We start from the raw sequence: 27188 nt of genomic DNA, 5'->3' as shown, positions 1-27188 counted from the left end.
TTTGCCTTAGTCCCTTGTTGAAATTGAGGTGATATATTCTTCAGGTTCTCAGGATCTTTTTACTTCCTTCCCTTTTTAATGGTAGCGTCCTTTTTAATGGTCATGTCCTAAGGGACATGAATCAACTTGGTTTCTAAGGTGACTTTAGTGCTCTGTGTCAAACGAAAAGACCGCAAAGATTTCCCCTATGTAATCTTTGTGTATGACCACTGTTATTTTTATACTGCTTTTGGCAGCAGTAATTGACAACAGAACTTTAGTCACCTATAGCAAATGTCAATTGCTTCGTCTTAAGTCTGTTGCATACTACATAGATCTTGATTTTGGGAGAAGAGAATTGCAGCTAACATAACTTTGAACTCTCATCTATGGTTCTTGTTTTTTTTGAGATGGAGTCTCGTTCTGTCACCCAGCCTGGAGTGCAATGGTGTGATCTCGGCTCACTGCAACCTCCGACTCCCAGGTTCAAATAATTCTCATGCCTTGGCCTCCTAAGTTGTTGGGATTACAGGTGCATGCCACCACATCTGGCTAATTTTTGTATTTTTAGTAGAGATGGGGTTTCACCATGTTGCCCAGGCTGCTCTTGGACTCCTGACCTCAGGTGATCTGCCCGCCTCGGCCTTCCAAAGTGCTGGGATTATAGGCATGAGCCACCGCGCCCGGCCCATCTGTGGTTCTTTAATTGATGTTATCAAAGCACTGATCCCTATAAGGTCCTCACTCTAGAGGATTTCTTTTTTTCTATTTTCTTTGGGATGGACATTTAATGAGAGCAGTTTCAATCACTTGCTGTGACCCAGATACATATAAAATTGTGCTTGGAATTTCAGGGGATTTACTGTGTAACTGTCTGTGGAACTGATACTATAAATTGCTGTCCTGGAGAAAAGGTCCATGAAGACTCATGAGGATATCACATGTATACCATTGAGACCTGTGATAATTTAGCTCCTGTAACGCTAGATCATAGTGTGATCTGATCAAATCTGCTGACATGATTTTTTGTCTTTTCCCTTAGGATGAAGACCCTGAGACCAGTTGGATTCTCCTTAATGAAGATGATTTGGTTACCATTTTAGCACAGTTCCCCTTTCATGAACTCTTTCAGCATCTTCTTGGGTTTAAAGCAAAAGGTAGACTCATTTCTCTTAAGTGTAAAATGTGGTAGTGGCAAGTGTAAACACAGGAACTCTGCATTGAGTCTTCTTTTTTTTTTTGAGATGGAGTCTTGCTGTGTCGCCCAGGCCTGAGTGCAGTGGCGCGATCTCGGCTCACTGCAAGCTCTGCCTCCCAGGTTCACGCCATTCTCCTGCCTCAGCCTCCCGAGTAGCTGGGACTACAGGCGCCCGCCACCACGCCCGGCTAATTTTTTGTATTTTTAGTAGAGACGGGGTTTCACCGTGTTAGCCAGGATGGTCTCCATCTCCTGACTTCGTGATCCGCCCGTCTCCGCCTCCCAAAGTGCTGGGATTACAGGCGTGAGCCACCGTGCCTGGCCCGAGTCTTACTTCTTGTGTAGGCTCCAACTCGGGTTTCTTGTGCCTAGCTGTTCTAGGCTCCTCTTGTGCTTGTAATTTCCCACTTGGTGCTTAAATGTGAGAAAGCTAGCTAGCTTGCACATTCCCAACTTAAATAAATTGTTTTTAATTTGGCACATTGTCTCAAGTTTTTTCCCATTTCATGTTGATATGGGAGCCAGAGTAATGAGACTGTCAGTTCTTCTCCACCTTGGCTTTGAGTCCTCATTAAAATATTTATACAGATGTATCCGTTCATGTTTTTTCATAGTAACTATGATTTTTTTCTTTTATCTGATTAACTTCTAGGTGATTATTTACCTGAAACAACAAGACCTCAAGAGATGATGAAAATTTTTGCCTTTGCCAACTCACTAGTGGAACTTCTGGCTGTGGGGTTAGAAACCTTTAATAGAGCACGCTATAGGCAGTTTGTGAAGCGAATTGGTTATATGATCAGGTAATACTGCTGTTGCTCTACCCTTCTCTGTTCCTTTCACCCTGGTCAGACACAGATACTGCATAATTGGGATGATGGACGTTTTAGTTGTAAACCTCAGGTCTTATTTCTCGTAATAGTTAAGATTTTTTTCTTCACCATCTATAAGATGGGAATTTCATAATTGCTTCCAGTTAGAGTATTTCGTTAATTATCTCAAATTTAACTGGCTTGCTAGATGATTGTTCTTGGAGTTGAGATCCCCAAAGCTGTTGCTGGGTTGAAGTCTGGGTGAGAGAGAAGGCATCTAGGAAAATACAGGCTCTTACTGCTTCAGCTGTCTTAATAAATTTAGAGAATATGTACTGCTTTTCTTTGAATTAATTTTATACTCTTTTTTCTGCTTTATTAATTTTAATTGTCTTTACTGGATCATTTCTTATAGCATATACGTATGCTGTTATTCAACTTCCTTCCCCACCCAAAAGAAACTCCATAAAACTACAAAACTTCTCTCCCTCCTTTCGCTTCCAAAACAAAATTACTTTTAATTCATTTATTTTATTTTTTTATTTTTTTGAGATGAGTCTCGCTCTTTTGCCCAGGCTGGAGTACAGTGGGCACGATCTCGTCTCACTGCAGCCCACGCCTCCTGGGTTCAAGCAATTCTTGTGCCTCAGCCTCCTGAGTAGCTGGGATTACAGGTGCGCACCACCACACCTGGCTAATTTTTGTATTTTTAGTGGAGACGGGGTTTCACCACATTGCCCAGGCTGGTTTCAAACTCCTGGACTCAAGTGATCCATCTGCCTCGGCTTCCCAAAGTGCTGGGATTACAGGTGTGAGCCACCGTGCCTGGCCTAATTCATTTATTTTAGATATGTATCCATTAGCTTTATAAATCAGTCAAGTGATTATAGGATGCCCTAAAAGGGTGGGGGTCCCTTCTTTTTTTTTGAGACAGGGTCTCACTCTGTCACCCGGGCTGGAGTGCAGTGGTGCGATCTCGGCTCACTGCAACCTCTGCCTCCCAGGTTAAAGCCATTCTCCCACCTCAGCCTCCCGAATAGCTGGGACTATTGGTGTGTGCCACCACGCCCAGCTAACTTTTTGTATTTTTAGTAGAGATGGGGTTTCACCATGTTGGCTAGGCTGGTCTCCAACTCCTGACCTCAAGTGATCTGCCTGCCTTGGCCTCCCAAAGTTCTGGGATTACAGCCATGAGCTACTGTGCCCGGCCTGGGGGTCCCTCCTGAGGTCTAGAGAAAGCCTTGAGTATAGAGTTAGGAGAATGAGACAGTGGGAGGGAGGATGGCTGGTGACTTGGAGATAAATTTGTTAAAAGCTAAAAGCCCATCTACCTGTTATTAACAGAAGTCCATCCAGACGTTCTTTTTCTGATTTTTCTTAATAAATAAGACCATAAATAAAATTTGTCCATAAGCTCACTTACATGATGTAGGATTGCGTGCTTACTGTATGCCAGGACTGTGATTTCTTATTTTATTCTCTCAGTAACTCTATAGGAAGGACGTTGGTATCATTACTGTTTTAAGATCACTGTTTACATTATTGTGTAAATAACAGCTGTAGTGTATTATGATTATTCTTTCTTTGTTTTTCTTTCCATCTGCTTACTTTTTGTATCTAGTGCAGATTCTTCTCATACCTTCTAATTGCAGAACAATTTCCCATAAGGGCTTGCCTTCAGATCGTCTATTAGTTCCCATTTTATTCCTCCATCCTCACTTGAACTTGCTTTTCCTCCCACCGCTACCCAAACAGCTCCTACAGATGAAGATCTCTAATGAACCTTGTGCTCCAGATCCAGTGGCCAGTTCTGGGTCTCTTCATCCTACTTGGCATCTCTCACGCAGCTTACATAGCAGCCTTTCTCGTAGTTAGTTGATCATTTTATCCTTAAAACATTTTCTTTCCTTGGCTTCCAGGATACCACATTCTCCTGATTTCTCCACCATTTCACTGACAGTCCCTTTTCTGCCTCCTTGGTTGTTTCATTCTCACTTCCAGGCTTCTTAATGTTAGAGTGTCTCAGGGCTCAGTCCCTGGACCTCTCTTCTCTTTATCTACACTTGCTTTTTGAGATGTCATTCATTCATCTTTAAATATCTAAACACTGTTACAATTCTCAGAGTTATATTTCCAGTCCATACCTCTCTCATAAACACATTGTATATTCAACTACCAACCGAGCACCTCCACTTGGATGACTCATTAACATTGTAACGTAGTGTTCTCAAAATGAACTCACTCTCCCCCCTTCCCAAACTACTACTCCCAGTTTCATTAAGTAGCAACTCTATTCTAGTTTCTCAGGCCAAAACACCTGGTGCCACCTGTGGCTTTTCTTTCTTTTATACCCCACATTCAATCTAACTGCAAATTTTATCATCTCCACCATCAAAATACCATCTTTTATCAAATCTAAAATGCCACCAATTATTTTTTAAGATACATTTTATATGCCACTAACATAGGGAAAATGCTGCCAAATTATGGCATCACATCATTAATATTAACATGGATTCTGACGTTCTAATTGCAGGGATACTAGTGTGAAAGACATGCATCCTTTTGAATCAATGAAACATGCTCCTTCCAGAATCTAGCTGCTTCTTACCGCCTTCACTGCTAGCACCCCATTTCATTCCTAAACCTCCTGACTTATCTTCCTGCTTCTGACTTTGCCCACCACCCGCTTCTGCCCTTTCCCCACCTCAGTGTATTCTTAAACAGCCAGTGTTCCTTATGAATTGTGAGTCAGCCCATTCACTGTCTGCCCAGGACCCTACTGTGCTCCCCACTGCACTCAGGGAAAAAGCCGACGTCCTCACAGTGGCCTGCAGGGCCCCTCACGATCTGGTTTCCTGCCACTTTTCTGATTTCATCTCCAGCCAGTCTACCTCTCAGCACATTGGCCTCCTTGCTGTTCCTAAACATACCTGACACCCCTCGGCGCTTTTGCATTGGCTGTTTCTTCTACGTGGACACTCTTCTCATAGAGACTTATGTGATTCCTCACTGTTTTCCAGACATTATCAAATGTCCCTCTTTAGTAAGCCCTTTCGTGCTCCCAACCCACCTCCTTATCCTGCCCACCCCTCCACCTCCAGACATACTTTATTCCTTTCTCTGGCTTTATCTTTCTCAGTGTCACTTACAACCATGTGACAGACTGTATATGACTTTATTTTATTTGTTGTCTCTTTGCCCTTCACTAAATGTAAGCTCCATGAAGGTAGGATTTTATTTTCCCCATTTCATTAGTTTCAGAACCTGGACAATAGTAGGTGGATAGTAGGTGCTCAATAAATATGTGTTGAATAAATGAATGTTGGAAATGTAATATAAAGGTGCAGATATTGAGCTAATGAAAAGTACTGTATTATCTTTCCTCATGCTCAGGATGACTCTTGGTTATGTAAGTGACCATTGGGCACAGTATGTGAGCCATAACCAAGGCTCAGGATTGGCCCAACAGCCCTACTCTATGGAGAAACTACAGGTTGAATTTGATGAACTGTTTTTGAGGGCTGTCCTACATGTGCTGAAGGCCAAAAGGTAAGTAAGACATATGATGATATTTAGTGAGAAGTAACTTCCTCACTAGTAAGAACCATTCGGTGAAAGCCACTTAAGTAGGTCTTTTATAATAGTTTCTTAGTGTATTTCATCTATTTCTTATTGAGGGCAAATTCTTGGGCCTTGGTTTCCTTATCTGTAGTACCCACCTGTTGACTGAAATGGTCTCTCTCTCTCTCTCAATTTCTTTCTGTTTTAAGATAACACTATTCTGGTGTCTCAGTTTTTTGCCACCCTGAACTTTTGGGGCAGCCTTGAGCAGGGGAAAACAAGGATAGATTCTATCTATCACATACCCACTGCAGTGCCTGCAGTGAGACGCAGTAGGTGTGCAGCATGTGGTGCAAATGATTTGCTGATTTTATTGTTCAATTTGCCTTCCGGTAAGGGTTTTAAGGTCTGGGAATGTCATGGATCTTGGTTCCCTGTCTTAGCTTTGTAAATGCTGTCTTTGGATCATGCTGACTGTGCCACTGCTTACAGCCTAGGACCTGTTTGAGGCATAGGCAAGGGCATAGCTGCACATCCCGTGCTCCCTTCCCTGAGCCACTGGCCAAGTTGAGGAGTGGGCTCTGCTGCAGGATTATGCCCTCCGCTAGGAGATGCGGGGCTGCCTCCACCCCCACCCAGCTGTGCTTATGAACTACTGGCTCTCCCCTGCTTTGGCCCTCTCCTGAGCTAGCTGCCTACACTCCCTCTTGCCATGTAACTCTTAGCCTTAGCCCCTGATTTATTCTGTGTTGTATAGTAAGTTTGAGTCTTGGTCTGCCATTTACTGTTACCCTGGGAAAGTCGCTTAATATTTGTGGTCTCACTTTTTTCATTTCTAAAACGGAGATGGTGATAATGATACTACTGTTCCATTAACCTCATGGATGTGTGATGAGGGTGAATTGTGGTAATATGAGGAAATACATTTTAAACCATAAAGGACTTTTCAAATGTAAGTGGGGGTTTTTCTTGTGTGGTTTCATCTGGGGAATAGAATAATCTAGAGACTTAGAGAAAGATCAGGAGGTCTTAGCTAAGTGTTAACCACTTTTAGACACTGTGAAGGCATTGAGTCTAACTTAAATAGAACTTGGGTATAGAAATTTATCTTTTTTTTTTTTTTTTTGAGATGGAGTCTCACTTTGTTGCCCAGGCTGGAGTGTAGTAGCATGATCTTGGCTCACTGCAACCTCTGTGTCCTGGGTTCAAGCAACTCTTCCACCTCAGCCTTCCAAGTAGCTGGGATTACAGGCGCTTGCCATCATGCCCGGCTAATTTTTTGGGTTTGTAGTAGAGACGGGGTTTCACCATGTTGGCCAGGTTGGTCTTGAACTCCTGACCTCAAGTGATCTGCCCGGCTCAGCCTCCTAAAGTGCTGTGATTACAGACATGAGCCACTTCACCCGGCCTTATCTTTAGATTACTCCTGTTATACTTATACCATAAATTTGGTGGTCTCATGAGATGCACCAAATCCTGTTCAGGACTGTGTCAGGGCATCAGTGCAGTAGCACCTGTCCACTGACGCTGGCCTGGTGCATGGGAGGAGTCTTCCTTCTCTGATCTGTTACTTGTTCTTGTGCTTGCTTAGTGGAGAGGCAAAGCTCTCATCCTAGTTACTTACTAGAGCTTATATATTGAGCTGTGAACCCTTGCTGTAACATTGTGTATATAATTTCACAAAGATAATTGTTTTAAAATGTTGACAGCTATTGTTCTTAAGTTTATTTTAGGAAACAAATTATATGAGAACCAGATATTTAAAGCCATGAAATTTAAATTTATTCGGCACTCAAATGGAAATTTCTGGCAATAGCTATCCCTTCAACCTAAAACAAAACTGAACTATACTAAAAGACAGACAACAAAAATATAAACCAGGGCTGGGCGTGGTGGCTCATGCCTGTAATCCCAGCACTTTGGTAGGCTGAGGTGGGCGGATCACCTGAGGTCAGGAGTTCAAGACCAGCCTGGCCAACATGGTGAAAACCTGTCTCTACTAAAAATACAAAAATTAGCTGGGCGTGGTGGCAGGCACCTGTAATCCCAGCTACTCGGGAGGCTGAGGCAGAAGAATCGCTTGAACCCCGGAAGTGGAGGTTGCGGTGAGCTGAGATCGCGCCACTGTACTCCAGCCTCAGCAGCAGAGCAAGACTCTGTCTCAAAATATATATATATGTGTGTGTGTGTATATATATGTGTGTGTGTATATATATGTGTGTGTGTATATATATGTGTATATCTATATATATGTGTATATATATATAAATACCTATATAAATATATACGTGTATGTGTGTGTATACATATGTGTGTGTGTGTGTGTGTGTGTGTGTGTGTGTGTGTGTGTGTATATATATGTATATATATGCCAGACTTCCTGAATGTCTGCCATATAGGGAATTTTATAGCCTGAAATACACCCTGTTTGTGATATTACTTTTAAGTCCTCTACAATTTCCCTTCTTTGTTTTGGGGTATAAAACAGCATCAGGTCCCATGTGAAGTGTTAGGATAATTAACTAATAAGATAGAAACCTGGCCCAACTGACCTTAGAGAAGTTTCTTAATCTCTTGTTCAGAAGTCTAGCTGGCTTTTCCAGAGTCCAGGTAAGTGTGGGTTTGAACTACCAGTTGCCTGTTTAGGTTCATAGATGTGGATTAGGCATGCACTATTCATTTTTTTCTTAAATTTGGTTTATTTGTAATTAGATAATTTGTAATTGGATGATTTGTAGTAGTTGTTTCTCAAATACGGCAACAGCTTTGAGTGCCTCGTATTTTTTTAAGTTTTTTTTTTTTTAATTTAATAACAGGTAAGTTGCTGTACATTCCTTTGCAGATTTCCTTTTTTTTTTTTTTTTTTTGAAATGGAGTCTCACTCTGTTGTCCAAGATGGAGTTCAGTGACACCATCACTGTAACCTCCGCCTCCCAGGTTCAAGTGATTCTCCTGCCTCAGCCTCCCGAGTAGCTGAGACTATAGGCGCACACCACCGTGCCCGGCTAATTTTTATATTTTTAGTAGAGATGGGGTTTCACTATATTGGCCAAGCTGGTCTCGAACTCCTGACCTCAAGTGATTTGCCCGCCTCAGCCTCCCAAAGTGTTGGGATTACAGGCGTGAGCCACCGCATCCAGCCATTCCTTAGCAGATTCTGACTTGGGGCATGGCCACCATCCTGATACAAGTGTTTTTTTTTAGTTGTGATAACATTTACATACAATTTTAATAAGCATCTATTGAGTGCTGATTGTTTTTGAGATACTGGTTTAAGTAGCAGATAATTAAAATACAAGGTTCTAGTTATAAACTGGTTTATATAAAAATGAACAAGACATGGTTTCTGCTCTCAAATTGCTGTTAGGTTAGTATGTCATATGTAAATTACAGTACCATGAGGGGTTTCTCATGTTGTGTTTTAAGAATCACTTGAGTCTGAGTCACCAAGGGTGACTATAAAGGTGTAAATTCTTGTGCCCCAGCTGTGACCTACAAAATCATGGTCTCTATAGGTGAGGCTTGGGAATCTGCATTTTCCAGAAAGTCTCCAGGTGGTTTTTCTGCCACTACAGTGTGGGGATCACTGGCAGAATGTATGATGATGGCAAAGTCAGGTATGGATGGAGTTCTGTAATAGTGCAGAGGAGGAAGTCCAAGGAGGGCTTGACCCATGGAAGGAGCCAGCCTGGAGGTGTGGGGTCTCTCCAGGCTTGCTGGAATGCAGTGGTAACTGAAGGAGGACAGAGAGGGCTGTGGTTGGAAATATGATTCAGAGCCATACTGTGGAAGCCTTTGAATGTGGGCTGAGGAATTTGAACTTTGTTCAGTGTTCAGAGAGGAGTACTGGATGGATTTCGATTTTCCTCCCACCCACTGCACATGTGTCTGTGGGCACACGTGTACCTGTGTGTGTGCTCAGACACACACATCCACAGCTGGCCTCTCTGCCACCCACTACTGTGTGTGCCTTAGTACCTGTGTGCGCCTTAGTAGCCTGTGTGCATTGGTGCTAATATCCGTAATAATAATACTTATTATTTTTGAGTTGGAGTTTCACTCGTGTTGCCCAGGCTGGAGTACAATGGTGCGATCTTGGCTTACTGCAATCTCTACCTCCTGGGTTCAAGTGATTCTCCTGCCTCAGCCTCCCAAGTAGCTGGAATTACAGGCATGCGCCACCACGCTTGGCTAATTTTGTATTTTTAGTAAAGATGGGGTTTCACCATGTTGGTCAGGCTGGTCTCGAACTCCTGACCTCAAGTGATCCACCTGCCTCGGCCTCCTAAAGTGTTGGGATTACAGGCGTGAGCCACCACGCCCGGCCATATCCATAATTATTGTCTTGGTTTTTGTGAGGATGGTTTGAGTTGATATTGTACATACATGTATACACACACACATGCACACATTGTTGTGGTTAGAACAGTCCCTGGCACAGACTGGGTGGTTTGTATTTGCTGTTATTCTTAGCCATCCTTGAGGTGTTTATGACTAAAGCATATTAGAAAAATCATAGTGTGATTTAAGAATCTTTTTTTCCTTGAGAGCCAATGGTTTGTCTACTTTCTTAGTGTAATGAAGCTGATTAATAAATAAAATGATTCCTGCTTACATGCAGACTTGGCATTTGGCTGTTTATGTCCGAGATGCCCTTTGGGACTCTGTCTGTGCAAATGCTGTGGAAGCTCTTCTACCTCATGCACCAGGTGGAGAGCGAGAACCTGCAGCAGCTCTCCTCCTCCCTGCAGCCCGCCCAGTGCAAGCAGCAGCTCCAAGGTACAGCCCCGCCGAGCAGTCGGCGTCCAGCTCTCCCTATCTTTTTGTGCTTCTCTTCAGGGCTTAATTTTTACTTTTAGAAGGACTAAGAGAAAATGTTTTACTCTACATACTCATGTGTAATGATTTTGAAATTCAGGAGACTGCTTCACAGTTTTGATGTATTAAATAGCAACTAGCATATCTGAAATCAAAATTTGATTAGTCCCAAACAGTATACCAATACACACAATATTCTAACTTTTAGGAAGCACTTTTTTGCATGTGTGTGTGAAATTATTCTAGTTGACAGTTGTATTAACAGATATGTATTAATTGTCTAGAAATTTGTTAAGGCTTTGTGCCCAGCCATTTTAATATCTTTCTTTTATTGCTGTTTTTTTAAAGTTGTATTGTTTTTATGAACTAAAGATGTAGACAGGTGTACTTTAAAAATTAATTTTGGTGAAAACTTAAGTTTTTGCGTCATACCACCTCTAAACTACAGGATATTTATTTATTTTTATTTTTTATTTTTTTTGAGACAGGGTCTCACTCTATCACCCAGGTTGGAGTGGAGTGGTGTGCTCTTGGCTGACTGCAACCTCCACCTCCTGGGTTCAAGTGATTCTAGTGCCTCAGCCTCCTGAGTAGCTGGGCTTACAGGTCCACGCTATCACGCCTGGCTATTTTTTGTATTTTTAGTAGAGACATGGTTTCATCATGTTGCCCAGGCTGGTCTTGAACTCCTGACCTCAGGTGATCTGCCTGCTTCGGCCTCCCAAGTGCTGTGATTACAGGCGTGAGCCACCGTGCCTGGCCAGGATATTTACTTATAACAAAATTATAATGTTCGAAATGAAAAACACCATTTAATTAGATGTATGTTGTAGTGATTTTAAAAAACTACCCTATACGTTAAAAAAGATAGACAATTTACTGAAATACAAGACTAAAAAAAAACACCAAAGATAATTCTGTTTTCCAAGTGTTTTTTCCTTCACAGCAGGAAGTAAAGGCTGTTTTCCAAATTTTTAAATGTCTGTATCACTTAAAAGAAAATCATATACTTTAAAAATTATTGGGCCTCTACTGTTTGCAAAGTAGTTTCTGCAGACATTCATGATTTATTTTTTTATTTCCATTTCTTTTTTTTTTTTGAGAATGAGCATTGCCCCGGCTGGAGTGCAGTGGTGCAACTTCAGCTCCCTGCAACTTCCATCTCCCGGGCTCAAGTGATTCTCCTAGCTCAGCCTCCTGAGTAGCTGGGATTACAGGTGTGCACCACCATGCCCAGCTAATTTTTATATTCTAGTAGAGACAGGGTTTCACATTGTTGGCCAGGCTGGTCTTGAACTCCTGACCTCAAGTGATCCACCTGCCTTGGCCTCCCAAAACGCTGGGATAATAGGCGTGAGCCACCGTACTCAGCCTCCATTTCTGTCTCTCTTGATGTCTTTATTCTTCTGTTTCTGTTTTTTTCTTTTATGGGGCTCTGCATGCGTCCTCTTTTGTCCCTTTCTGTTTTTCTTTCTATCTTCTTAGTGGTAGCTCTGGATTCCTTATATTATTATTCTTTGTAAAGTGCTTCTCCACTGTCCTGGGGGCAGTGCTTCTATTAGACCATTGCCGTGGTTGGACCTGGGCTTACGAGTGAGCTAGGTGAGAGGTCTCACAGCCATTGTCTGTCCTCTGGCGGCTATTTCTGTGGTTGAAATAGCTAATACAGAAGCAGACATTTCCTTTGGAAGTGCCTGGGATGGTCAGCAGCACTACTTTGTATACCTGAGTCCTGGGTAGGTCTCCTTTGTAGTGTCATCTCCCTTCATTGCGGACTTACTATCTGCCAGGCTCTGTGTTAGCATGTGGCAGATGGAGCCGATGTCAAACAGCTCAGCTCTGTAGTGGATGTGATTCCAGACCCTGAAGTGGCAGTACCAGCCTTGCCTTGCCCTAGAGCTTTGGATCCTGCTGCTGGAGTTTTCTGTCTGGACTCCAGGCTTCCACGGCACTTTTATCTTTATCTCCCTTAGGGCCTGTATCACCTGACACAGGAGTTAGTGGCACAGTAGAGAAGTTTCATCTGCCTACTATGTTCTAGCTTTGAGAGTGGAGTCTTTGCAAAATTTGATCCTCCTGCTCTAATTTGCTGTTTTTTCATCTTCTCCTTTGCTTAATCTTTTATATATCAATTTTGTTAGGAGGCTTGATTTTTATTGTTTGTGGAAGAATAAGGCTTTCTAACATCTTTTCCCTTCCTCACTTTTTATATTTAGTAAATGCCAGAAGTGCTTATTCTTTATAACCAGTTCTTATTTATCTGTGGTAATAGGAGTAGGGTGAGCTTGAAATCAGTTTCCAGGGAACAAATTTTAACTAGTTTTAACATTTTCTAACTAGCAGATTTCTTAGCAATGATTGTTAAAAACCAGTCTGTTTTAATTTGGCTTCTTTTTGTTTATTTCTAGTCTAATCAACATTCTGACTACTAGTAAAGTGTAGCCATAAGCAAATCTGATGATAAATAACTGTAGAAATGTGTTTGTCCTTATAGTTAATATTTTAAAAGCTAATTAGAAAGTTATTTCACTTTCCCATTGTTTTTTCTATAGAGTTATTTAAAATATAAGGCCTTTTCCTTGATTTGTACCTTAAACATTGTAAGTTTGAATGATAATTCTTTTTTTTCTTTTTAAATATCCTTTCACAATATACGTTAGAATGATCATGCCAATTTTCATTATTCTGGGAATACTTTGTGTAATAATTTCCACTATAAATCCAATTTGGAGATGGAAAATGAAAATTGGTTTGGTAAATGTCCCAGAGTTATTTTGAAAATGCAGGAAATTTGGTGAGCTATCTACCTTGGTTTCTCAAATGTGTAAATATGAAAAGAATTATTGGCTTGTTGCCTTCTTACTGTGAAAAGTTCCATCAAGGATATATATATATATGTATATATTTAATTTAATTTTATTATTATTATTTTTTTGAAATGGAGTCTTGCTCTGTTGCCCAGGTGGGAGTACAGTGGTGTGATCTTGGCTCACTGCAACCTCCGCCTCCCAGGTTCAAGTGATTCTCCTGCGTCAGTCTCCCGAGTAGCTGGGACTACAGGCGTGTGCCACCACGCCCAGCTAATTTTTGTATTTTTAGTAGAGACGAGGCTTCACCATGTTGGCCAGGCTGGCCTCAAACTCCTGACTTCAAGTGATCTGCCCATCTTTGGCCTCTGAAAGTGCTGGGATTACAGGTGTGAGCCACAGCGCCCGGCCAAGCACATATATTTTTAAAATGGGCTTTTTTTCCTTTCTGCTGTAGAACTTTGCATGTAGTTTACTGTCATGTATATTTGTGAATATTGCTTCCTAATGGCAGAATTTAGTATTGCTTTTACAACATCCTTTGTGATATAGGCAAAACATATCACATTTATTATATCGTTTATGACATTCATTAGTATTTCATTTACGGTTATAACTAATTTCTTGCCCCCAGTTTTTCTTCATAAGCAAATCTCTTTTTTTTGGAATGCCCTATTTGTGCCAAGTAGTTGCTAGTATTAGCAGTTTTCATTAGTCAGGTCTTTGTTTGTCTGACAGTTACCAAGTAGCTTCAAGTGTGCCTTTGAAGTTGGCAGTACTGCCTTTGAAGGTGACTGCCTGGTGACAGCAGCAGTGCTTTGCAGTTAACTAAGCACGTCACCAGTGACATGCTATTTAACCTTCTTATTAAGTAACCTTTTGAGACAGATGTGGGTACTGAAGCTAAGAGATGTTAAATGTTTTCTGTGAGGCTACATTATATTTAGAGTTTGTTGGAATTTCAGAGGCCATCTGGTCCAGCCTTATTCCTGATGCCTGTAGAAATCTATTTTGGAACAAAGAAAGACCTTTTGTATCTTTAAATATTCCTAAATCTTTTTCTCTGGAAGAGTGATTAAAAGATATAAATTTATTCTTTCCCCACTCTAATTTTCTTGATATGAACTTGCAGACCCAGAACATTTTACCAACTTTGAGAAGTGTCTTTCTTCTATGAATAGCTCAGAAGAGATTTGCCTTCTGACTACCTTTGCTCAGATGGCTCAGGCCAGAAGAACCAATGTGGACGAAGACTTCATAAAAATTATTGTTCTGGAGATATATGAGGTTAGAATATGAAGTTTTATAAATCAGCTAAAAATGTTTTCTTTTGGATTGTCCATCTGTTGATTTTTTGGGGGATTGCTTTTACAAATTGTGACTTATTTAGCTACTGTCTACACTTCAGAGAAGGGATAGAGAATCAGTGGAACATTATTTTGCTACAGGGATTATTGAAAATGTGAATTATATCCATTCCCCAGTACTTATTATCTTTTGAAATTTGTTGCACCAGTTTCAGTAAGGGAGAGACAATGTGACACAGCCTGACACAGTTTTTATGATGTATGTTTCCCTCGCCCCCACCCCTTCAACTAAACTCTTCCACTCTGGCTAGTAGCAGAAACCTAGCTTCCCAGCCAGTTTAAATGAGATGGTGGGAAGAATATTGAACCTGGAGTTAGGATACCTGAGTTTTAACTCTGCTATTAATTGGCCATCTCACATCAAAAAAGATAACTTATTACCCCAGGCTTCATTTTCCTCATCTATAATATGAAATTACAGGCTGGGAGGAGATCCTTGCATTCTTCATCTTTTCACTGAGCCATCCGTGAAGGTGGAGGGGAGTGAAATTTGGACCCCTGAGCATCTAGGGACTAGCCCAAAGTGGTTACCAAAATGTTCATTGGAGTTTTTTGTATATTTAAAAAGCCTTGCACATTTTACACTTTAAGCTGTCATTTATCTGTTTATCTGCATACAAAATATCTCCTCCAAAGTATTCTAGTGTGCTCAAGTAAAATTATGTTTGAAGATGATTATTTGGGTTTTATTATCTTCCCCTAATAATCCAGTTTGAGAATGACAAACCTGGATGTTCTTTCCAGGATCAAATACTTGATTCAGCTGTTCCTATACTGGTACTTCATAACCATGCATAAAGTTAAGATCTCGATGGATCTGGAATTCAGACTGTCTTCATGATCTGAAAAACTTGGGGAGAGAAGACATATTTTCACAGACATTAAGTGACATTCTCAAGATCTGTTGCTAAAGTAATATTTATGCTCTTGAGTAAAGTTTCCAGTGTTTTGACCAGGAGTCACAATAAAAATTACATTCTATATTACATTCTGATCCTGTGTGTGTATGTACAATTGAAGCAATACTTAATCTACCTGTGATACACTATTACATTTTTCTATTTTATTTTATTCTGTTATTTTTCTGTATATTCCATTGTGTTAAAAAATACCATTGGCATTAATGGATTGTAACATACACTTTGGAAGACATAATTCAAAAGGAGTTGGTAAACAATGTTTTAGAAGGTCTTGTAGTTAGGGTTCTTATTCTGTAGGGGAAGCTAGGCATTTCCATGAAATGCATTCTGATTTTCATCATTGTAGTGATTTCCTCAGATTTAGAAAAGTTTTGAAACTGCAGGAACCATTTTATTGTTACCGACAGACTTTGGGATATACTTTTTGAATCCACACTTGAAGTCATTGTTATAAGAAGTTGCCATTCTCTTATATTCCTCTCCCTGCACCTTTCGGCCTCAGAGTAGACAGTTGCCTGTATGAAGTTTTAACATTTTTTGGAACATAGTGTCAATTAAGGCTCAATGTAAGATTCTTTCTGCTTTGCTTGAAAAAATGATATAAGTGTGTTTTGACTGCTAATTGATATTAAAAGTGCCATCTTCTTCCCCCTTCCCCCCATTTAGGTATCTTATGTCACCTTGTCTACCAGAGAGACTTTTTCAAAGGTTGGTCGAGAGCTTTTAGGGACTATCACAGCTGTTCACCCTGAGATAATTTCCGTCCTTCTGGATAGAGTTCAAGAGACCATTGACCAGGTTGGAATGGTAAGAGCACTGATTTTGTTTGTTTTTGTTTTTTCAAATCTTGGAGTAATGGAACATTGGCAAAAATAGGAAGGTTCTTGGGAATGATCTTGTCACTAGGGGTATAAACAGGATAAAAGGAACTAACATTTACTGTGCCAGCCTCTGTGTCACTCACCACACCAACTTGGGATTAGCTGCTGCTTATAAAAAGATGTGATTGTTTCTCTCAAATCTCAAGGTTGACTTGTCCACCTCGTTCAATAACATATTTTTACTTTACTTATGACCTATAGTTAATTAACAATTTTTATTTCATAATTTGTTTGGCTTTCATAGTTTTTATATTTTATACTTGGAATAAACAACTGACAAAGAAGGTCCTATTTAAAGTCAGCCAAAAGCAAAATAAATAGTATGTAGTAACTTAAGTTGAGGAGGACACATTTAATTTGTTTCTGTCATTTGTCACAATCCCTTTTGCAATCTTCATGTAGTTTTTCAAAAGTTTTCTTGAGATGTAATTCACATACCATACAATTTACCTATTTAAAGTATATACGTCAGTGGTTTTTAGTCTATTCACAGATATGTGCAACTCTCAACACAGTCAATTTTAGAGCATTTTCATCACCTCAAAAACCCTTAGACTTCAGCTATCACTTTTTTTTTTTTTGAGATGGAGTTTTGCTCTTGTTACCCAGGCTGGAGTGCAGTGGCTCAATCTCGGCTCACTGCAACCTCTGCCTCCCTACAACCTCTGCCTCCCAGGTTCAAGTGATTCTCCTATCTCAGCCTCCCAAGTAGCTGGGATTACAGGCGCCCGCCACCATGCCCAGCTAATTTTTTTGTATTTTTAATAGAGACGAGGTTTCACTGTGTTGGTCAGGCTGGTCTTGAACTCCTAACCTCAGGTGATCCACCCACCTCGGTCTCCCAAAGTGCTGGGATTACAGGCATGAGCCACCGTGCCTGGCCCAGCTATCACTCTTACTCTTCTATCTCCTTCAGCTCTAAGAAGCTTTCTTAGGTTGGGGTCCTAAGCACCTTTCATAGATTAGGGCCCTAAGCCCTAATCTAATGTCTGTCTCTAGATTTTTGCCTATTTCAGACATTTCATATTAATGGAACTATGTAATATATGGTCTTTGTGACTGGTTTATTTCAGCTAGCATGATATCCTCAAGGTTCATCCATGTTGTAGCATGTGTCAGCATTTACTTCATTTTTAAGCCTGTATAATAATTCCTTGGTGCGTGTGTGTGTGTGTGTGTGTGTGTGTGTGTGTGTGTGTGTATAACTTTTTGTTTATCCATTCAGTCATTGATGGGGACTTGGGTTGCTTCTGCCTTTTGACTATTGTGAATAATGTTTCTGTGAATGCGGATGTACCAATATCTCTTTCGGGCCTTGCTTTCACTTCTTTTGGGCATGTGAGAAGTAGAATTGCTGGATCATGTCATAATTCTATTTTTAGTCTTTTGAGGAGCCATCATACTGTTTTCCATAGTGGCAGTACATGGTCATTTTCCTTTTAAGAAAAACAGTGTTGGCTGGGCACAGTGGCTTACGCCTGTAATCCCAGCACTTCGGGAGGCCGAGGCGGGTGGATCACGAGGTCAGGAGATCGAGACCATCCTGGCTAACACGGTGAAATCCCGTCTCTACTAAAAATGGAAAAAAAAACAAATTAGCCGGGTGTGGTGGCGGGCACCTGTAGTCCCAGCTACTCAGGAGGCTGAGGCAGGAGAATGGCATGAACCTGGGAGGCGGAGCTTGCAGTGAGCTGAGATCACGCCACTGCACTCCAGCCTGGGCTACAGATAGAGACTCTGTCTCAAAAAAAAAAAAAAAGAAAAGAAAAACATTGTATGCTACTGCAAGATGATTATATTGAGATAAAAAGCTTTTCATATACAGTTCAATACAGTAGGAAGTTTTCTGTTGCTCCTTCTTGAGTGATTAGTGGATGAATTCCAGAGAAATGTACAGTGGATCATATGATTCTTTCAGTTTGAGCTCATGACATTTTTCTCAAGTGTTTTTCTTGTTTTTGGCTTCTTTTTTTTTTTTCTCCCAAGACAGAGTCTTGCCCTGTCACCCAGGCTGGAGTGCAGTGGTTCAATCTCAGCTCACTGCAACCTCCGCCAATGGGTTCAAGCGATTCTCCTGCCTCCTGAGTAGTTGGGATTACAGGCGCGTGCCACCATGCCTGGCTAATTTTTAGTAGAGACGAGGTTTCACCATGTTGGCCAGGCTGGTCTCAAACTCCTGACCTCAGGTGATCTGTCCACCTGGGCCCCCCAAAGTGCTGGGATTACAGGCATGAGCCATCATGCCTGGCCCAGATTTATCTTAATTTGCACACTTGGATGTGTTATTTTAAAAGTAGTGCTGTAGACTTTCTGTAAATAGGATTTAAAAATTTTTTATTGTGGATTATTTCAAATACATATAAAAGTAATGAGAATAGTATGGTATAATGGCCTATCATCAAGTTTTAACAATAGCTATCAACTCTTGGTCTCTTTGTTGATCTTGTTTCATCTTACCACCCTCCCACTCACCCCACCCCCGGCCTGGATGGCTTGGAAGCCAATAGAGTATCTTTCTAAATGCCATAGAATGAATAATTACTTAAAGTGCTAAATTCTTTTGCAAAGTGAATAGCCGTCCCCCGATTTATCATGACTTTAAAAATGTGCATTAGTGTGGTGGTTTACCTAAACTGAAGCATACCAATTTGAATATTTAAAAAGATTGATCTTTACAAAGGATTATGAAATGTGCTTTTGATGTATCATCAATTTTAATACCCACTTGATTTGGTTGTCCGTGATTTCCATTTCACTTGTCTAAAAATTAAACAAAAACTCCAGTTCCTTTTGGAGAAATTTTTTTACAAGCAGTTTAATAATATAATATTGTAGTAATATAGCATTGTTTCTAAGTCTTTATTTAATGATTATTGTTTTCTTTTTAATAAGGTTTCTCTATACTTGTTTAAAGAACTGCCTTTGTATCTTTGGCAACCTTCTGCATCTGAGATAGCGGTGATTCGGGATTGGTTATTGAATTACAACCTGACAGTGGTGAAGAATAAACTGGCCTGTGTTATTCTTGAAGGACTGAATTGGGGATTTGCTAAACAGGTATGTGTTCAAACCATTCCCTGGAGACTGGAGGTTGTACATGCATCTGTTTCAAAGAAGGATTTTGTCAAAACACTAACATTTCTGAGTACCATTTGCAAGGTCTACAAATTCTTTGTAGCTGTGTCAGAGTTTAGGATTTTCTGTTTAATTCTCTTTTGCAGAATGAGCAACTATTAAATGAGGATAAATTGTTCCACATTGAAAATTCTTCCCTTTTTCCTTATTCCCATGTATCTGTTTTTATTTTTTATTTTTTTTGTTTGAGACAGAGTCTTGCCCTGTCACCCAGGCTGGAGTGCGGTGGCACTATCTTGGCTCACTGCAACCTCCTCCTCCCAGGTTCAAGCAATTCTCCTGCATCAGCCTCCTAAGTAGCTAGGATTACAGGTGCATGCCACCACACCTGACTAATTTTTGTATTTTTTAGTAGAGACAGGGTTTTGCCATGTTGGCCAGGCTGGTCTCGAACTCCTGACCTCAAGTGATCCACCTTGCCTCGGCTTCCCAAAGTGCTGGAATTACAGGCATGAGCCACCGTGCCTGGCTGTATCTGTTGTTTTGTCTCTGGCTAGTTACTTTAGTTTCTCCTAATTGCCTCTTCTGCCTCTCATTCCTTTTTCTCCTGTAATTTGTCTTGCATGTCATTGTCAGGGTTGTTTTCTGAAACACTATGCATTGGTTAAGAGTCTGAGCTCTAAGCCAGCCTCCCTGGGTTCTGATCCCAGTTCTGCCACCTTCTGGCTGTGTGACTCTGAGCAAGTTTCCTAAACTCTTTGGGCCTTAGTTGCTTATTTGTAAACATTCATATTAACGAGTATACCTCAATGTCTCACAGGGTTGTTTTTTGTTTTGTTTTGAGATGGAGTCTCAATATGCTGCCCAGGCTGGCCTTGAACTCCTGGGCTTAAGAGAGCCTTCTGCCGAGTAGCTGGGATTACAGGCGCGTGCCACTGCGCATAGAGTTGTTGTAAAGGTTAAACAAATGAGGAAACACAAGATGTTTAGGATGATTCTTGCCACACATTACGTACTCAGTGGTGTGGTTATTATTAAGGGTTTGCTATGTAGCATATATCTTCAGAGATACATTTCAAGTGATTTTCACTGTTAAAAGACCTTCTCTGCCTCTTTACCATAGGCCTTATTTGTTAGCTCTTCCATAAGAAGATTAACATTTAAAAGGGAAAATGGTGGCAAACTCAGCCCTTTACACCTGTCTGACAGGTTTTGTTCTGAGCAAGTCATTTAGTCCTGGACAGCATGATACCTGTTGTGCAGATGAGGAAACTGAAGCCCGGGAGCTTTTCTGCTGAGGTGTCCTTGACCACTTGGGACTGCCCATAGATTCATCTGGGCCCTCTCTCATTGACATGCTCGTAGGCAAGAGCTACAGGGGGCTGTTTTCCACCTTCACATTCTCTGGCTTGTGAACAGAATCACCTAGGCTCTCCTCTTGAAGAGCTGCGTGAGAGTCTCCTTATGCCTTTGTTAAGAGTTAGGAAAGTCATCTTTCTGAAAGGTTTAAGGAATGTATTTTTCCAGGCTGCAAAGGAAGATAGTGTAGGAAATTTGATAGGCAACTTCAGGCATCAGAAGGAATATTTTACCTGTGTTGCTGAGTGTCTTATTTATTGTAACTAATGATAGAACAGGAAAAGGGAATGTAGACATAATTTATTAAATATCTTTCTCTTTTTTTTTTTTTTTTGAGTCAGAATCTCACTCTGTCACCCAGGCTGGAGTGCAGTGGCACGATTTGGCTCACTGCAACCTCTGCCTCCTGGGTTCAATCAATTCTGCTGCTTCAGGCTTCCAAGTAGCTGGAACTACAGGCGTGCACCACCGTACTTGGCTAATTTTGTATTTTTAGTAGAGACAAGGTTTCACCATGTTGGCCAGGCTGGTTTCAAACTCCTGACCTCAAGTTATCTGTCTGTCTTGGCTTCCCAAAGTGCTGGGATTACAGGCATGAACCACCACGCCTAGACAGTTCATTAAATATTTTTCTGTTTAATTAAGCATCTTCCTGGTTTGTGGCGTTGCCCTTGACCCGAAGTGTTTGTAGAGATTCTTGGGTGGAATGGGGGATGACATTCAAAGATAACCTTTTTTGGCTGGAGTAGGGGTTAAGTCAGGTTCAAACCTATCTAGGTACAGTGTTATTGCCCTTGACAGTTTTTTGCCCATTGTCATTTTATAGTTTGACTGTGTGGGATGTGATTTTTGGAACATTTAGCTTCTACATCGAAGATCCTTTGTTACTATTCTGCCTAATGTTTTGATTCAAAGGTACAAAAACAAAACAAAACCAAGGTTGTATGTTTGTGATTATTTTTCTCTTTAAAAGGCTACCCTTCATCTGGATCAAGCAGTCCATGCTGAAGTGGCTTTAATGGTTCTTGAAGCTTATCAGAAGTACCTTGCACAGAAGCCATATGCTGGGATTCTCTCTGAAAGTATGAAGCAGGTATTTCCTTCTCTTCTGATTTGGAAACATGAATCTTTATCTTCCCAAGACATTTAGAAATAAAGATGATAGACTTATACTATTGACCATTAGGTATCCTAAGAACATTTCTAGCAATTTAAGATGTTATAATTGACTTCTATGGTTTGATAAAGATTCTTCTTTAAGAAATAGCCTGTATATAACTATTCTAATATTACAGAATTTGAATTGAACTGCAGTGGTGTGTTAGAGCTTGGTTGTACTGGCTCTGGAGAACTGACTTAAATTTTTAGAAACTTTGCAAGCCAGGTTATTAAACCATTGGTAGCTTAAAATTGACCATGGTGGGAATTTTTACACCACCAAAATTGACAAGCGCTATATATGAGACCTCCGTCCTGATGGTTAAACTTATTTATCGGCACACTATTCATTGAGTATCAACTTTTATGTCACTTTTCTTTTACATGAGCTAAGATCAGGTTCACAAAGTGACTAGCAAGTAAGCGCAAGTTGCGAGTGAAAAATTGCTTTGATGTAGTGCAGTGAACATTAATTGGAGACCAGCAAGTAGAATATTCCTCTGCGTTGAGGGCATTGTTGGTCACAAAAGGAGATGAGTGTATGAGCTTACTGATTTAATTTGTGTGTGACTAATGTGGCTCAAAATAAATAATTGTTTTAGGTTTCATATTTGGCCAGTATTGTTCGATATGGAGAGACACCCGAGACCTCATTTAACCAATGGGCCTGGAATTTAATCTTGAGGCTAAAACTGCACAAAAACGATTATGGAATACAGCCGAATTGTCCAGCTGTTCCCTTCTCCGTCACTGTGCCTGACATGACAGAGTCACCCACGTTTCATCCTCTCTTGAAGGCTGTGAAAGCGGGCATGCCCATTGGCTGTTATCTAGCCTTATCTATGACAGCTGTGGGCCACAGGTACAGTGTTGGGCTGAACCACTAGGGTTACTGAACCTTGCAGATAGTTCTAGAATTTTATGTTTCATATCCCAAGTTCTGAGGCCTCTGTCAAACCTATTGCGGAGCAATTGGGCCAAATAATAATCCTTGATTAACAGCTTATCAAGGGGAGATGCTGCCCAAATTCACATACTTCAGATTTGTACAAGCAAGTCACCTAAATGTTACTTTATGAAGAGAGTTCTGCTTGTCTCCTGGAGTGGAATGTTCGTGTCAGCAGTAGATTCGTACTGTCTTCCTCAGAATTGTGATCAAATAAAAATAATTGATCACCTGTAGTAAAATTTTTGAAAAATTGATCGTAGCCCAACTCAGGCTTTTTTTTTTTTTTTTTTAAATTTTACTTTAAGTTCTAGGGTACATGTGCACAACGTGCAGGTTTGCTACATACATATACATGTGCCATGTTGGTTTGCTGCAGTCATTAACTCATCATTTACATTAGGTATTTCTCCTAATGCTATCCCTCACCCAGCCCCCCACCCCATGACAGGCCCTGGTGTGTGATGTTCCCTGCTCTATGTCCAGGTGTTCTCATTGTTCAATTTCCACCTATGAGTGAGAACATGTGGTGTTTGGTTTTCTTAACTAGAGGTCCCCTTAACTGTCTAGAAGAATGAAATGCCTGACTAGGTCAGATGCCTCTCTGATATGAGCCCATAGCTGTCTGTATGTCTTCTACTGGAGCATTTATCACACTATATCATAGTTAATCTGTTCAATTTTCTCAGAGATTCAGTTATATATAACTTCTATGAGAGAAGTGCCCAGGAATGGCATTTGTCTTGTGTTACCATTTTATCACTAGTGATGAAGACTATATCTGGTGCAGTAAATAATTGAATGCATGAATGACTTCTCAGTTGATTAAACATCCTTCTCTTTAAAGATTCTTTTCTTATGCATTAATTTTTTTCTAGTCTATTTATTTGTCTTCACACTCTTTGACCTCTGCTTTCTGATTCTTATGTTTTAGACTCACTGTAACACTTTTTAGCATCCTCATTTCAACATCTTGTTCCACAGTAAGTGTAATTTCAGTGGGATACCAGTTGCAATCAGCTGTAGTCTTCAGCGTTGTGCTATGAAGTAGGAGAGATAAAGAATTGTTTGATAGCTTTCCTTGGGTTGTTGACAGTTTTGTTGAGATGATAGGCATAAATAAATCGGCAGTACTATAGAATATAATTGCAGGCTGGATGATGTGTGGAAAGCAGTGGTTCTCAACTTCTGCTGTTCTTTAGATTCACTTTTGGAGCCTTTTAAAAATCCCAGTGCAGGGAAAAGGGTGAGAATCCTGGCCTAAGTGGGCTGGGGGCCAGTTCTCTAAGTATCTCTAATGTACACCCTGGATTGAGAACTACTTAGAAGCTGAGCAGAAAGAATGTAAAGGAAGGAGAGATCAGTATGGTGGGATACCTTCATGGAAGAGCTGACTTTTGGAAAGGAGTCTTAAATTAGACAAGACATCTGTCGCAGTTTGGATGTTTGTCCCCCTAAACCTCATGTTGACATTTGATCCCCAGTGTTGGAGATGGAACCTAATGGGAGGTGTTTGGGTCATGTGGGCTGATCCCTCATGAATGTCTTAGTGCCATCCTCTCAGTAATGAATGAGTTCTTGTCTCTTAGTTCCCATGAGAATTGGTTGTTAAGAAGAGCCTGGCACCCCGCCTCCTCCTCACTTCCTGTCTCACCATGTGATCTCTGAACCTGCCAGCTCCCGTTGGCCTTCTGCCATGTGTGGACGCAGCCTGAGGCTCTCACCAGATGCCCAGTCTTCCAGCCGGCAGAATTATGACTCAAATAAGCCTTTTTTTCTTTATTAATTGCCCAGTCTCAGGTATTCCTTTATAGCAGTGCAACATGGACTAAGACAACATCCTAGGCTGATGAGCAGAGTGATGTTGTGTTCCTCTTACAGTTACTTAGTGCCCACAGTTACTTCAAGGGCCATCTCCTGCCACCTGCAGCCCCTGTACATTCTGAACAGCACACTCACTGTGTTTTATTGTCATTGTAATCTCCCCTGCTCCTCATTGACTGTTTGCTCTATGAAGGTAGGGACATTGTCCTGTTCAATTGTGTATCTCTAGATCTTATACTTAGTAGGTATTCAACAAATGCTGGTGGGTTGAATGAATGTGGAAAGGAGCCTCAGGTGTCTGAGTGGGTAAGGGGAGAGGAAGGGAAATGATGAGGAAACACTTCTCACTGACGCCTGTGATTCATGTTGGAGAATGGAGGTGATCAGGTGTTTGGTTGGGCCAAATTATGGAGAGATTTGAAAGCTAAGTAAAAGAAGGTAGAATTGATTTAGAAAAGAGGAGACCTGATAAGGGTCCTTAGGAACATACTCTTTATATTGTTTCCAGTAGCTCTAGTGTTATTAACGGCTTCCTGTACTTCAGGTTTCCCATCTCTAAAATGGGAGTACTAATAACACCAAACTTACTTTATGAGGCTTAAGTGAGTCAGAGCACATGTAGGCCGGGTGCAGTGGCTCACGCCTGTAATCCCAGCACTTTGGGAGGCCGAGGCGGGCGGATCACGAGGTCAGGAGATCGAGACCATCCTGGCTAACACGGTGAAACCCCGTCTCTACTAAAAATACAAAAAATTAGCCGGGCGTGGTGGCGGGCGCCTGTAGTCCCAGCTACTCGGGAGGCTGAGGCAGGAGAATGGCGTGAACCTGGGAGGCGGAGCTTGCAGTGAGCCGAGATTGCGCCACTGCACTCCAGCCTGGGCGACAGAGCGAGACTCTGTCTCAAAAAAAAAAAAAAAACCACACATGTAACATGCCTAGAACAGTGTCTGACGTGATTCTCTTGAGTGCAGTTATCTGAACTTAAGTGTTTTATGATTTCTCGAATTTCTTGTATCCATTCTGGGACCATAGCCCTTTATTCACTGATACTGCTGTGGGCTCTCTCTAGAGATAACTTTTGATTTGTGCTGATCACTGAATCCTGAATGGGAGTGAGAGTGAGAATGAGCATTTCCTCTCAGGGCTGATCTCTAGTGTAAAACTCCATGGTGGGCATTTGGGATTAGGTGTACTGGAATATAGAAGTAACTTAAAACAATCTTAGGTATGGGTGGAGTAGGCAGGGACATAAGTTGTTTGTGAATATAATATTACAGACATTGTAGAGAAGTCAGAAAATCACCCAGAATATTTCCCATCATAAAATCATTGATTTTTTTTCTGTTTATTTTCATCCATCATTTTTCCTTTGATCTTTTTAAAGATGTATGTATAATTTTATATCCTTAGTTTTTCACTTTACAATTGTAAGTAGCTTCCTTGTGGCATAACCTTTGCACAATTACTTTATTTTTTGAAATGATTTTCTCCCCCAGAATTAAAGCAGTATAACCAAACTGCAGAATTAGGAAAGTGGAGAAAAAGCCACTCACTTCTGCCACTCTTGTACAATGACTCTTTTGTTGTGACATTGTCCCTGTATTCGCCTCCACAAATAACTTTTCTTTACTAGTAGTTATGATCATGAGTATAAAATTTTATGTCTTATTCCCTAGTATCTTTATAGCAGAAGTGTTTTTCCACATTGCCTTTGGTCATCATGTGTATTATTTTAAAATGATACAATAATATTTCCAATTGAAAGGATTTTTCTAAAATTGCCTTAAGTCATTTTCAACCTCTCAGTTTTAGAGTTAAAAATAAACCTGAAAAGCGCCTCTTTATATGGATCATATTTTATATTTTTTTCCGTATTTGAGATTATTTTTTAAGGATAGATTCTTTGAAGTGAGGCAGAGAATAAAACTTTTATGCCAAATTGGTTTTAGCAGAATTTTGCAGTTTATGCAGGTTGAGTATCCCTAATCTGAAAATCTAAACTTTGAAATGCTCCAAAATCTGAAACTTTGAGTTCTGACATTGCACTCAAAGGAAATGTTCATTGGGGCATTTTGGATTTGGGACTTTTGGATTAGGGATGCTCAGCTTTTAAGTATGATACGAGTGTTCCAAAATCTAAAATACTTGGTCTCAAGCATTTCAGTTAAGGGATAGTCAACCTGTACTGACAGATTGAGGTCACTTTTGAGTCTCCTCTTTGCTGTGATACCTTGTGGGAATATCCAGACAAGGAGAGTCCCTACGGCTCTTAGGAGAAGCTCTTTTTGAGAAATAAAATATGGTAGTAGAGAGCACTCTGGATTAGAAATTTGCAAACTGGCGTTCTCATTTTGACCTTACTCTAGGAAATTATGTGAATTTGGGCATGATACTTCACCTTCCTCATCCATACAATGAAAATAAAGATTAACTTTTAAGTTTCTTTGCAATTCTAGAATTCTGGGTTTAGTATTTCTGTG

General features: G+C 40.6%; 1 protein-coding gene across 21 annotated transcripts in view; it reads left to right on the top strand.

Moving 5' to 3' along the window:
- The window catches only part of EPG5 (ectopic P-granules 5 autophagy tethering factor), a 166749-nt gene that overhangs the window by 22189 nt on the left and 117372 nt on the right, over positions 1 to 27188 (top strand). For all 21 annotated transcript variants that reach the window (XM_047437710.1, XM_047437706.1, NM_001410858.1 and 18 more), the window contains 9 exons: positions 1022 to 1136; positions 1830 to 1980; positions 5386 to 5541; positions 10175 to 10332; positions 14311 to 14465; positions 16132 to 16272; positions 19239 to 19403; positions 21754 to 21873; positions 22541 to 22800. In XM_047437710.1, coding sequence (XP_047293666.1) covers positions 1022 to 1136; positions 1830 to 1980; positions 5386 to 5541; positions 10175 to 10332; positions 14311 to 14465; positions 16132 to 16272; positions 19239 to 19403; positions 21754 to 21873; positions 22541 to 22800 — 1421 coding nt within the window. The remainder of the gene's footprint in view (positions 1 to 1021; positions 1137 to 1829; positions 1981 to 5385; positions 5542 to 10174; positions 10333 to 14310; positions 14466 to 16131; positions 16273 to 19238; positions 19404 to 21753; positions 21874 to 22540; positions 22801 to 27188) is intronic.

This window comes from Homo sapiens, chromosome 18, assembly GCF_000001405.40.
Source record: "Homo sapiens chromosome 18, GRCh38.p14 Primary Assembly".
NCBI lineage: Eukaryota > Metazoa > Chordata > Mammalia > Primates > Hominidae > Homo > Homo sapiens.
This window is presented reverse-complemented; position numbering and strand designations above follow the sequence as displayed.